The sequence below is a fragment of the Homo sapiens genome, chromosome 10 (genome assembly GCF_000001405.40).
Source record: "Homo sapiens chromosome 10, GRCh38.p14 Primary Assembly".
Classification (NCBI taxonomy): Eukaryota; Metazoa; Chordata; class Mammalia; order Primates; family Hominidae; genus Homo; species Homo sapiens.
In genome coordinates this window covers 63,355,732-63,369,366 of record NC_000010.11, presented here as the reverse complement: position 1 = coordinate 63,369,366, position 13,635 = coordinate 63,355,732, and the positions used below count along the sequence as shown (strand labels likewise).

The 13,635-nt window shown below is 39.0% G+C and overlaps 1 protein-coding gene across 11 annotated transcripts in view, besides 2 other annotated features; it reads left to right on the top strand.

The window, feature by feature from the left end:
* The window catches only part of JMJD1C (jumonji domain containing 1C), a 354,666-nt gene that overhangs the window by 152,524 nt on the left and 188,507 nt on the right, over positions 1–13,635 (top strand). The gene's annotated exons all lie outside the window — the stretch shown is intronic.
* Positions 2,960–3,461: an enhancer, noted in NCBI's record as "NANOG hESC enhancer chr10:65125666-65126167 (GRCh37/hg19 assembly coordinates)". NCBI's record gives its function as "activates a minimal SCP1, AML or CMV promoter by ChIP-STARR-seq in naive H9 embryonic stem cells {active_cell/tissue: H9 hESC(naive)}" and the evidence as "EXISTENCE:reporter gene assay evidence [ECO:0000049][PMID:30033119]".
* Positions 8,098–8,298: a silencer, noted in NCBI's record as "fragment chr10:65120829-65121029 (GRCh37/hg19 assembly coordinates)". NCBI's record gives its function as "represses an EF-1alpha promoter that drives an FKBP-Casp9 reporter gene in an ReSE screen in K562 erythroleukemia cells {active_cell/tissue: K562}" and the evidence as "EXISTENCE:reporter gene assay evidence [ECO:0000049][PMID:32094911]".

Below are 13,635 nucleotides of genomic sequence, written 5' to 3'. Positions count from 1 at the left end.
AGTTCGAGACCAGCCTGGCCAACATGGTGAAACCCCATCTCCGCTAAAAATACAAAAATTAGCCAGGTGTGGTGGTGCACTTCCATAATACCAGCTGCTTGGGAGGCTGAGGCGAGAATTGCTTGAACCTGGAAGGCAGAGGTTGCAGTGAGCCGAGATTGCATCATTGCACTCCTGGGCAACAGAGTGAGACGAGAAGAGGAGAAGAAAAGAGAGAGAGAAAGAGAAAGAAAACAGGAAGAAAAGGAAGGAAGGAAAGAAGAAAAGAAAGAAAGAGGAAGAAAAATTAGTTGATGGTTAACTAATTCTTCCTTAGGCTATTCATTTTCCATCATTATTACACCCTGAGGAGGCTTTAACTAAATTTCCTGATACATTAGATGATCAATATCAGTATTATAAGATTGATTTCTATAAGGGGCTGGGCGTGATGATTCATGCCTATAATCCCAGCACTTTGGGAGGCGAGGGTGGGCAGATCACCTGAGGTCAGGAGTTCGAGACCAGCCTGGCCAACATGGCTAAACCCTGTCTCTACTGTAGTCCCAGCTACTTGGGAGGCTGAGGCAGGAAAATCGCTTGAACCTGGGAGGTGGAGGTTGCAGTGAGCTGAGATCATGAGACTACACTCCGGCCAGGGCAGCTGAGCGAGACTCTGTCTCAAAACAAAACAAAAAAAGATTTATTTACATAAGGTAAATGAATCTTAGCAACAGTGTCACTTGTTATGCCATAGTGTGTTATGTCACAACGTGATGCTGTTTTATTACAGAACAAATCAGTAAGAATTGCAGAGGAATTTGCTATGCCGCCTCAGCAGAATTGACCCTTACCTGGATGCTGGATATTATCATGGATAGGTATAGTTACAGTGGGCCCTTACTCAGTTATTTCTGAGTTCCAAGTCATTTAAGAACAAAGCTACTTACCTTGTCTCAGTTCACAGGCTTGTACTAAGACTGGTTTCCCTATGTGCTGTTATATAGTAAGGTCTCCATGTTCGTGAATATGATGTATTTCTTTGGTAGCATTTTCCTGCACAGAGCATTCCAATTTAATTATGGAACTCTTCTGGGTACTGCTTTCCCCTGAGAATGTTTCTCCAACATTTCCCAGGACAGTATATATATTTCAGGTTTTCAGATTCAGAGAAGCAGTGTCAGTTAATGCCCAATAGTAAACTAGTTGTCCCTCAAATTGAAATTTTTGGGTCCAGAATCCTGATGGTTTTCCTATAAGCTCCAGTCTTGTGCTCCACACAGGACTGTTGTATAAAGAATTTGCCCAGCTTCTATTCTGTACTATTTGAAATTAATTTGGATGGGCTCAGGCATTTTCACTGGCTTTCAATTAGCATGTCCTATAAATATTGCCTGATAGGAAGATTTATATGTATTCTGTTTAAGTAGGGGAAACATTCGCCAGTCAGACGTAATAAATATCTCCATAATGCATTCAGGTGAAGGAGACACACTACTGTACATAAAGTACATTCAGACATTCTTATTTTAATCCAGAGTTTTACCTTGATCCATAAACTCTTGTGTTGTTATGTCTTTCCAGTATAACTGTAGCTCCTGTTAGGACTTCACCAACAGATTTGTAAGTTCTGTGCATGGGTCTCTCGTGGAAACATCTCTATGCTTAACTATTTTATCCATTTAAAAGCATTTGACTCTGGGTCCCCAGCTAGGGACTAGCAAGGAATCTAGGTCTTCTCTTCAGGCCTTATCTAAGCATTGGCTTAGGCAAGTTGAAGTTAGATTTTTCTTAGTCATTTTTGCCTTCCAGTTTTTAAAGTTTCCTCAAACTAGGGTGAATTGCCGGGTACAGTAGCTCACTCCTGTAATCCCAGCACTTTGGGAGGCCGAGGCTGGCAGATCACCTGAGGTTGAGAGTTTGAGACCAGCCCGACCAACATGGAGAAACCCCATCTCTCCTAAAAGTACAAAATTAGCCAGGCATGGTGGCGCATGCCTGTAATCCTAGCTACTCGGGAGGCTGAGGCAGGAGAATTGCTCGAACCTGGAAGGTGGAGGTTGCGGTGAACTGATATGCCATTGCACCCCAGCCTGGGCAATAAGAATGAAACTCTATCTCAAAACAAACAACAACAAAACAAAAACAAAAACAAAAAAAAACTAGGGTGAATAAAGCAGATTTGTTTAGGGCTCTTTAATGGAAGGAGACCAGCAGGGGCTCATTGGTCCACTCAACCTCTGAGAGTGCTGCAGTGTGACCTTTGTTTTGGCTTCAATATTTTATCCCATTTCTCAATAACTGTTTAAAGATTTACACCCAGCTGGGACTAGTCTCTTGAATCTCCTCTTTCTTTTTCTCCATTGTCTTATGAATCTTTATTGCCTGTTATTTTGGTAAGACTTTTACATATGGCAGTGGGTCTGTGACTACTGGCTATAACTGGATCTGGCCAAAAACCAGGCTTGGCCCAGCATTAGGATTTGCGTTTCTGTTTCGCTATTCCAGGTAACAATAATCAAGGGATTATATAGTAACTTTATTTATTGTTTATGTAACATTTTCTTATGTATCCAGTGACCCAGGCACCCAGGAGTTGGATCCATCATTTCTCAGTCCCACTGGTAACTTTTATTTCTACTAATTGATTGTAATACAGCTGTAGTTGGAGCTATTATTTGTAAATTCCACTGGTAATGTTTACCTCCATTAAATGATTATAGCACAGCTATAGTTTTATACCATGAGTGGCCTTGTAACCATCCAGGAAACAAAGGTTTGTCATCCCTCATTCTTTCTCTTCATTCAGTGAGTCAGCTTCAGCAAGTTAATGTCATTCTTGTGCCCACTTCCGATACCATTGCTGCAAGCTTGAGGGATTCCAAAACCAACCTCAGGTTTGATAATTTGCTAGAAGAACTCACAGAACTCATTATATTCATGGCTATAGTTTGTTACGTAGAAATGATACACATTAAAATCAGCCAAGGGAAGAGAGACATAGGGTGCAGAATCCAGGAGGAGTCCAAATGTAGAGTTTCTGATTGCCCTCTCTCTGTGGTATCATAGACAACATTAGCTCATTTCAATCACAGTGTATGACAGTACTCACAGAATATTGTCAAACAGGGAATCTCAGCAAAGCCTTTGGTGATCATTGTTTGTATTGGGATTTGATCACATACCACCCACATGGCTGACCTTTAGTCTCCTGCTGCTTCCAGAATGTCAAACTATTACCTTTAGTTATTCCTTTCTCTGGAGGTCACAGCTATTACTTTGTGGCCCAAAGCCATACTGTGTGCTGTTATATAGTAGGGTCTATGTGCTCATTATAATGATATGTTCCTTTGGTAGCATTTTCCTGCACAGACCATTCCCATTTCATTATGGAATTCTTCTGGGTACTTCCCATTGTAAATCACATTTTTAGATAGTCCAGTGGCCAAAGCCCCCAGACGAACAAAAACACTCGTATCAGCCAAGACATGCCAGAGGCCTAGTGATTGTTTCCCAGTAGCTGAGGGCAGAAGCCAGACCTCTTTCAATAAGGTTGATCTTTCACTGTATTAACACTGTATATAAAGGACTTTTATAAAAGCTTGTAGTTATGGTGTTATTGTCATCATCCAGTTTAATGCCCTCTTTTTTCCAGTAAGAAAAGAAAGGTCTGGGATAATCATGTTAATTGATTTGTTTACATTTTCATTTTAATTAGTAGCACAACTGAGAGTGAAAATGGAACCCAAATAGTCCATCTTTAGCATAATACTTTTTTTTCTCCTCTAGTGGAGCTTATACCTTGCCAATTATTGAATCTTGAACTCCTGACCTCGTGATCCACCTGCCTCAGCCTCCCAAAATGCTGAGATTACAGGCTTGAGCCACTGCACCTGGCCTGAATTACTGAATCTTACTGAGAATAATCATGGAAAAACATTTGTATTTTTTGATCAACCTAGTTTCAGGAAAAGTCTTAAAAGGAAAACAACCTAATTTTTATTTTAGTTTACTTCTGATCAGACAATTTAAGATTTGGAGATATAAATGAGAATAAACTAAAATTTTTGTGTTCAGGAGGTATAGAGAGTAAGGAGACAGATGTACAAGTGGAAAATGAAACATTCAGTTATAGAATAAAAGTTTATAAAAATGGGACAAATGAAGAGGAAGTGCCTGGCTTGGCTAAGGAAAAGTGATACAGAGGAGGATGAGGCTTGCTATGATTTTAAATGCTGAATTGGCATTTTCTGATCCAAAAAGGTTGGAAGGCGTTGTATGAGAAAACAGGTCCTGATTGGGAAATCCCAAGGTCTTGTGCCAAGCTGGCATAGGTAGAATAATTGTGATGGAGTGGAGTAAGCGGTGATCAAATCATAAAGGGTCTTGTGTTACAATAGAATTTTGGAAATATTCCTCCTGTAGGGAATGGAAAGCCATGGAACCAAAATTATCTGGATTAAATCATCAATTTTGTATTTTAAGTAGGTTGCTATAGCTGTAGTATGGTGGGATTTGAGAGCAGCTAGCACATTATCCTGTAATTCATCCCTTTGTTTGATCTAGGTGAGACTTGGATAAATTTGTCTGGTAAAACATGTGCTCGGCCACGTGTGAGGTGGCCTGTACTCCCAGCACTTAGGGAAGCTGAGGCAGGCAAATCACTTGAGTCCAAGAGTTCGAGACCAGCCTGAGCAATATGGTGAAACCCCATCTCTACAAAAAATACAAAAAATTAGCCAGGTGTAGTGGTGCCTTCCTGTAGTCCCAGCTCCTTAGAAGGCTGAGGTGGGAGGATTTCTTGAGCCCAAGAGTTTGAGGCTGCAGTGAGCTGTGATCCAGCCTGGACAACAGAGTGAGAGCCTGTCTCAAAAAACAAACAAAAAACCTGCTTATCTTTGCTTCCTCCAAAATCGCACCAAGATAGCAACAACAAAAAAAGGATGAACAGTAAGAGATAATGGTCACAAGATAGAAATACATTTTTAGAATGTAGGGAGTGGGTGTCAATTAGTGACCAATTTAACAGGATTAAAGAAAACTGGGCCAGGCTTCACGCCTGTAATCTCAGCACTAGGTTTTTGTTTTGACCCCTTGCCCACTCCAATCCCAGCACTTTGGGAGGCCAAGGTGGGAGAACCGCTTGAGCCCAGAAGTTGAAGACCAGCCTGGGCAACATAGTAAGTCCTCATCTGTACATAAAAGTTAAAAATTAACCAGACAGTCTGGGCGCAGTGGCTCACACCTGTAATCCCGGCACTTTGGGAGGCCAAGGTGGGCGGATCACCTAAGGTCAGGAGTTGAGGACCAGCCTGGCTAATATGGTGAAACCCAGTCTCTACGTAAAAAAAAATATATACAAAAATTAGCCAAGAATGGTGGCGCATTACTGTAATCCCAGCTACTCAGGAGGCTGAGGCAAGAGAATTGCTTGTACCCGGGAGGTGGAGGCTGTAGTGAGCTGAGATCATGCCACTGCACTACAGCTTGGGCAACAGAGTGAGACTCTGTCTCAAAAAAAAAAAAAAAAAAAATTAGCCAGGCATGGTGGCGTGTACCTATAGTCCCAGCTACCCGGGAGAGGCTGGGGCCAGAGGGGGAGGATCACTTGAGTCTGGGAAGTAGAGATTACAGTGAGCCATCACTGCACTCCAGCATGGGTGACAGAGTGAGACCCTGTCTCATAAAAAGAAAAACCTGAAATCTAAATGTCATCAGAGGGGAATGCTAGCAGATTTTAGAAAGGTTCAAAATCAAAGCCCCAGATGCTTTGCATGGTAGAAGTGATGGTGGGAACTGATAATGCAGGAATTGATCGAAAAATTGTATGGGTTAGGCGTGGTGGCTCACGCCTGTAATCCCAGCACTTTGGGAGGCCAAGGTGGGCGGATTCCCTGAACTCATGAGTTCTCAGCCAGCCTGGGCAACATTGTGAAACCCCATCTCTACCAAAAACAAAAAATTAGCCAGGCATGGCGGCATGCATCTCTAATCCCAGCTACTCGGGAGGCTGAGGCAAGAGAATTGCTTGAACCCGGGAGGCAGAGGTTGCAGTGAGCCAAGATTGTACCGCTGCACTCCAGCCTGGACGACAGAGCGAGACTCCATCAGGAAAAAAAAAAAAAAAAAAAAAAAGAATTGTATGAAGAGAAGTAGACTCCCAGTGCTTTCTTCATACTTCTCACAGTTGGCAAGCTAACCTCTTCACCACTTACAGTACATTCTCTCAAGAATATGAACAGTAGAGGTTCTGGCTTTAAGGACATTTGGCCCATCAGAATTTCTGATAGGACAAGTGCATTAAATGAAAATCCTTTTTCTAAGTGGTTCTTTCAGCCCCATTTATTTCATGTCAACCAGTTACGTCCCCCCTGAAATGATTAGAGGATTGTTACCTCAGGGAAAGTGAAGGTCCCTGAGAAAAGAACAATAATAAATACTGGTAATAAGTGCCCTACAGTAATACTCACCAAGCCACTCTCACTCACAAAGTGTTTTTCAATAGCTTTTTAGTGCCTCATGCTTAATTATGAATGCTTAGTCAGGGATCCTCAGTCTTCTAAGCACTGATCATATTTTAGGAATTATATATAAATACAATATACTAGGCCAGGCATGATGGCTCATGCCTGTAATCCCAGCATTTTGAGAGTCCAAGGCAGGCAGATTGCTTGAGCCCAGGAGTTCGAGACTAGCCCAAGTAACATAGTGAAACCATACCTGTACTAAAAAATACAAAAATTAGCCAGGTGTGGTGGTGCCCACCTGTAGTCCCAGCTACTTGGGAGGCTGAGGCGGGAGGATCATTTCAGCCTTGGAGGCCAAGGCTGCAGTGAGCTGTCATTGTGCCACTGCACCCCAGCTTGGGCAAAAGAGTGAGACCCTGTCTTAAAAAATAAATAAATATATATATAAATAAATATATATATGTGTAACTGAACTATTTAAACTATTGTGATTTACAACTAAGTTTTTGCCTATCTGATGGCAAGAATTGTGCACTTAAAGTTATTCAGTAGAGGCTGAATACCTGATACTATTAGCTGTTGAGTAGATAATGAATAAAAGACACTTTAGTTATGAATTAAAAGGAATTTCTTGATTTTATTGGTAAACACTTCTTTCAAACTAGTGATTTTTTTTTTTTTTTTTAGAGATGCAGTCTCACTCTGTTGCGCGTGCTGGAGTGCAGTGTCATGATTTTGGCTCACTGTAGCCTCCGCCTCCCAGGTTCGAGTGATCCTCCTGCCTCAGCACCCCTAGTAGCTGGGATTACAGACATGTGCCACTATGCCCGGCCAATTTTTGTATTTTTAGTAGCAATGGGGTTTTGCCATGTTGGCCAGGCTGGTCTCGGAACTCCTGACCTCAGGTGATCCACCCGCCTCGGCCTCCCAAAGTGCTGGGATTACAGGTGTGAACCACTGTGCTTGGCCCAAACTAGTGATTTTTAAAAAGCCAGTATTTCTGAAGTTGCATGAAAAAAGGAAGTGAACCATTATTCTAAATATCCTCTTAAATTGTTTTCCAAAATTAAGTACATTTAAAAGTAGATTTAAATTTTTTCTGCTCTATAATTTTGGACTTTGCTTTCCATATTTCTTAAGTGTATGAAATTGAGGAGTAGGATATTCTTTTTCTTTTTTTTTTTTTTTTTTTTTTTTTTTTAGTTGAGACAGTATTGTTCTGTTGCCCAGGCTGGAGTCCAGCGGCACAGTCTCAGCTCACTGCAGCCTCTGGAGTAGGTTATTCTTACTGAGTCCTTAACTTAAGACATGCTGTAAATAAAATTGAGAGGAAGCTGATTTTTAATTTTAATTGCTTTCAATTGAACTATTTGTCAAACCCCAGAGACACTTCTGCTTTTTATCTGACTTTTCTTTCTTTTTAGTATTTGATGTATACCAAGTTCTAGGTATACAAGTATCAAGTTGTTCATTTGTTTATGTACTTACTTATTTATTGAGACGGAGTCTTGCTCTTTTTGTCCAGACTGGAGTGCAATGGCGCAATCTCAGCTCACTGCAACCTCCGCCTCCTGGGTTCAAATGATTCTTCTGCCTCAGCCTCCCAAGTAGCTGGGATTACGGGCATGCGCCACCATGTCTGGCTAATTTTTGTATTTTTAGTAGAGACAGGGTTTCGCCATGTTGGCCAGGCTGGTCTCGAACTCCTGACCTCAGGTGATGTGCCCAGCTTGTCCTCCCAAAGTGCCGGGATTACAGATGTGAGATACTGCACCTGGCCTAGTTATTTATTTCTTAAAACATTAAAATAACTCACTTAAGTTTAAAATTAGAAAATTTAGTTATTCAAAAATAAATTTAAAAATTGTAGTTTTAAGCTACCAGCCAAAGTTAATATTTGAAACTGTTCATTTGTAATGACGAAGATAATGGAAAACAATTGAAAGTATTTAATGGAAACTATACTTTTTAGGCCGGGCTCGGTGGCTCACGCATGTAATCCCAGCTACCTGGGAGGCTGAGGCAGGAGAATCGCTTGATCCCAGGAGGCAGAGGTTGCTGTGAGCCAAGATCTCACCACTGTGCTCTAGCCTAGGTGACAGAGTGAGACTCTGTCTCAAAAATAAAAAAAGAAACTATACTTTTAAAATCAGGTTTAAATATATTTGAAACATGTAACTTTTGTGGTATGTAATATTTATCTTTATTAACAGTAATTTTTTTATAATATAAGCATGCCATCATTATCCAAAAACTGTCTACCTGCCTATCTGGTAAGAATTCTAATTAGTGATTTCTAATCATTTTGGTATGAACAAAAATGTTTGTGTTGGATTTTCATTAAATTAAACATACCTATTGTCAAATATCCTTTTAGGAAATTACTGCATGACTGCAAGTTTAGTCTTACCAAGATTGCAAGCCAAGTTTTAAAATTAAGGTGCTGGAAATAAGACTTACAAGGTTGGATTAAAACATATCCACAGAGTAGATTAGGTATATAATACCTGCTTAATACATGTTTAAACAAAGTACATTTTAAGATTTCATTTCTTTTATTCGGAGACAGGGTCTCACTGTCACTCAGGCTGAAATGCAGTGGCATGATTATAGCTCCTTATTACCTCAAACTCCTTGGCTCAAGTGATGCTTCTACCTCAGCCTCCCAAGTAGCTGTGACTTAGCGGGCTACTGGGGAGGCTGAGGTGAGAGGATCATTCTTCTAAGAATGCACCACCACCATGCCTGGCAAATCTTTTTCTTTAATTTTTTTAAGAGATGGGGGATCTTGCTATGTTTCCCAAACTGGTCTTCAACTGTTGGCCTCTATTGATTCTCCTGCCTCAGCCTCTCAAGTAGCTGGGATTACAGACACAAGCCATTCTGCTCCCTATTTTAAGATTTCTCTGTGGTATTCCTTATTGTTTTCTGTCTGCTATCTTTAGAAAAGATAAGGTCTTCCATACCTTTTTTTTAAGGAACAAAAGGTATTTTTAAATGCTACACTGACTGATAGGAAAATATGCAGATCCAATCTTTTTAATTCTCTTGAATCTAAAAGTACCGGGTTACCATATGGAAACAATACCAAGCCATCCTTAAAAAAGAGTTTAAATTCTAAATTGTAAGAGCAGTTATAACAACTTTCAGTACTTTCTTCAATAACTATATTTTGATTAGCATTTCTGTGACATTAGTAACTCTGATAAAATGATTTCATGAAACAGGAGGAAACGACCAACTCAATAGCTAGAAAAGAAACATTTCAACTAGATTAAAACAAAGTTAAAACTTGTACTGAGACCACAAAATTCCTATCATGGGTAATGAAAAGTATTCATTAAAATTCAATTTTTTATGTAATAAGAAGTTAGAAATTGGATAGTCATATTCAGGTAAATTGGTCACATTATGTGGAATGCAGAAAGAAACAAGGGAAATAAAACCAGTTCTACAAAAATGTTTTGTCATTATAAAAATATTAGATCACATTTTCAAAAATTAACTTTTGAAGAAACTGCTGTGTTTTAAGAAAATGAAAGTTAGTAGGATAAATTCTCTGTAAAACGTCCAGAACAAATGTATGAACATAATATGTGGTTATTACCATGATAAATGTGCACAACAGCTTAGAAAAATGTTAAATAGTTGTGAATGTAGAAATGGTGGTAGCCATGAATATGGCCCAGGCCAGTTATACCAATGGCTAGGTAATAGTGAGAAATTATAATAGCAATCTCTAAGATGATACTAAAACAAAATGTTACTTTCTAAGAATTAACATTACTAGGATTATGAAACAACTCCAATTTAAATGGGAATTTAGGTTCTCAAATATTCTAGTATAACAGGTGTTCCTTTCATTAGTATGGCTGCTCAAAGAATATGAAATGGATTTCTATCTGGTAGTAATATTCTTAAATTCACACAATTACCATGCTTCGGTGGAAATTGAAGGAGGTCATTATTTTGAAGGTCCAACATGGTTAGATTTTCTGTCATCTTCATTTTCGGAGGGTCCACAAGATACAATCTGATCGTTACTAATCAAAACTGTTTTAAATGTGAATGTATGTTGTAGAACTTAAGGTAGTATTTTGAACTAGATAGTTTTAACTGGCCGCCTTTCCAGACTGCCTTTAACAGCCCCTGGGTTATGGAGGTATTGCATTCTCTTCTATTAACGTTGAAACTTACCTGGGGACCCCACCCCACTCTTCTACTGCCATATGTTCAAACTTTTATACAGCTTTTTTTCTGTTTTAAAATCTTGTTTTTGTTGTGATTTTATTAGGATCTAAATCCTAATAAAAACCATATTACTGAGTTTTCATAATTTTTTCTTTTTTCCGTTTTTCCCCTATTCTAACCCTAATATATGATATATCTTAATTATATCGTATTAAAGAGACAGGATCTTGCTATATTGCCCAGGCTGGACTAGAACTCCTGGCCTCTGCCTTGTGAGTAGCTGGGACGACAGGTACACACCACCGTATCTATCTTCAGATTTTTTTTTTTTACCCCATTTCTTAAATTGTTATGTCATATTTCATTGTTTTATCCAAACATGACAATTAGTTGCCATTTACTAGAATTTAACAGAATGTTTAGATTTCTCAGGATTTCTATGATGTTGTAGAACTTTTCTGGTTTTGCCTATTTCTTAAGCCATAGTGAGTTTTATTTGGTTATAATCTGTGAAAAAATTTTCGTATCCTAAAATAGATGATAGTTTGGAATCATTTCTTGATTCCTTGACCTTTCCATTATAAGTATTTCCTATATCTATTCATCTCTTTTGTTATACTTGGAATTACTTGGGATTTTCACTTTTTCATTATTGTAATTCAAAACAGCCAAGAACAGCAAGCCATTTAAATATGAAGGGTGTTGATTCCATTTTTCTCCTGTCCAGAAATACAGTTGCCACGTCTACATGTGTTCTAATTTGAGAGGTTTTTTTTTTTTTTATTTAGTTCTTGGGGGCTGGCAGGGGAAGTCTGTTTTGGGTACTAAAAGTGCTTGCTTTTTTATGTAAGGAGTTTGTCTCTGTGTGTGTGTGTGTGTGTGTGTGTGTGTGTGTGTGTGTGTCTGTCTGTCTGTGTCTTTTGACATTTTAAACACAGCATCCTATCTGTGTTGGGAGATAATTTCATTCATTCAATAAATATATTTGAATACTTACTGTTGGCTAAGCATTATGTAGATACTGTGAATCTCTGCCGTCTGACACAAATAGGTAACTGCAATTGTGAAGAGTTTTATGAAAAATAAATACAAATATCTTTTGATACTCTTTTAAAGCACATTTATGCCGGGCTTGGTGGCTCATACCTGTAATCCCAGCACGTTGGGAGGCAGAGGCGGGTAGATCACCTGAGGTCGGGAGTTCGAGACTAGCCTGGCCAGCATGGTGAAACCCCGTCTCTACTAAAAATACAAAAATTAACCAGGTGTGGTGGCGCACACCTGTAATCCCAGCTACTGAGGAAGCTGAGTCAGGAGAATCGCTTGAACCTGGGAGGCGTAGGTTGCTGTGAGCCAGTATTGTGCCATTGCACTCCAGCCTGGGCAACAGAGCGAGACTCTGTCTCAAATAAACAAACACATCTGAATTTACCATTTGAAAAAATATATTTGTGTGACCATGAGGTCAAGAGATTGAGACTATTCCTGGCCAACATGGTGAAATCCCATCTCTACTAAAAATAGAAAAAATAGATGGGCGTGGTGGCACGCATCTATAGTCCCAGCTACTGGGGAGGCTGAGGCAGGAGAATCACTGGAACCCAGGAGGCAGAGGTTGCGGTGAGCTGAGGTCGCGCCACTGCACTCCAGCCTGGCGACAGAGTGAGAGTCCATTAAAAAAAAAAAGATATAATGTCAGTAATATATTATTACTAGTTCATTTTTGAAGGCATACCAAGTTCCAGATATTTTTCTCAGTGTTTTACATTATTCTTTTGAGGTAGACACTATTATTCTTGTTTATAGATGAATAAACAGGCATAGGGTAGTTAATTAACTTGCTAAAGTCAGAATCAACTGTATATTGAAGTTTGAATAGTTGTGAATAGTATAAAGTTAAAAGTGAAAATGTTCTCTCTTTCTCTTCCTGTATTTCCCAGGGGTATCCTTAGCTAACAGATTGTTACATGTTCTCAGACTTGCCTTCCCTTCCTACTCCCTGCCTCACTTTGCTTCCTTCTTTCTGGGTAAACATAAATATTTACCAAAAGTGTTGTTTTAAACTAAATAGAGAACTTATATACATATACAGCCTTGTGAATGAAATGCAATTTTGATATCTTATGATTGTAAAGTTGAAAGGCAGATGGATGAACAATGAAAAATAACAGTCCAAACCATTGTAATATCTCCTAAATCTGGTAAGCCCGAAGGTGCTTGTGCTAACCTTGAGGGTCCGGTCCACTAGGGATTTCAAGGAATCAAAGAATGCTTTCTCAGGTCTTTTTTGTTCTTCAGTGAGGGTCTGGAGTAAACTAGCTCAAAGTAATTCATTTTCAGAGTGAAGGAAGGAGGTCCTTTCTTTGATGATGAAGAAATCATTACAGATTTAGAAATATTTGTATTTCATGTGTCTGTATCTCCCACTTTTTAGTGAGTAATGCCAGAAAATATCTAGTATTCAGACATAACGTTGTGTTTGTAGGTAAAGTTTGTCTTCTACTTTGTAGTAGATGAAGTAGTTATTGGTCAGTAATATGTAGGTAGTTGTGTTACATATGAGTCTGGATTAAATCTTTTACAATCCCTTTTGTTACTGTAATGTAGCACTGCCATATGCTGCTATGTAGATTGTGTAACCCTAACACTATCTTTTAATTTTTCATGTAATATAATTGGTCTTTATGCTTAATTTTTCCTCACATTGGACTACAAGAAGTCCTCATTTAAATATAATTTATTTGAAGAACATATGAGTAATTTTGGAACACAAGATGAATTTATTTTAGAGAAATAGTGATGCAGTAGCCTGCTATTTCAGCTCGATTGTGGTTTCTTTGGGCTTTAAATCAGCTAGCCTTGAAACCTCATTATTGTGTAGTCCAAATAAAGTTGGACCTGCTTGCTTTCTCACTGGGCGCCCATCTCATTATTGTATATGATCTAAGATAAATGCACATGAGCACACATTACCTTTTTTTTTTTAATAAGTAACTAG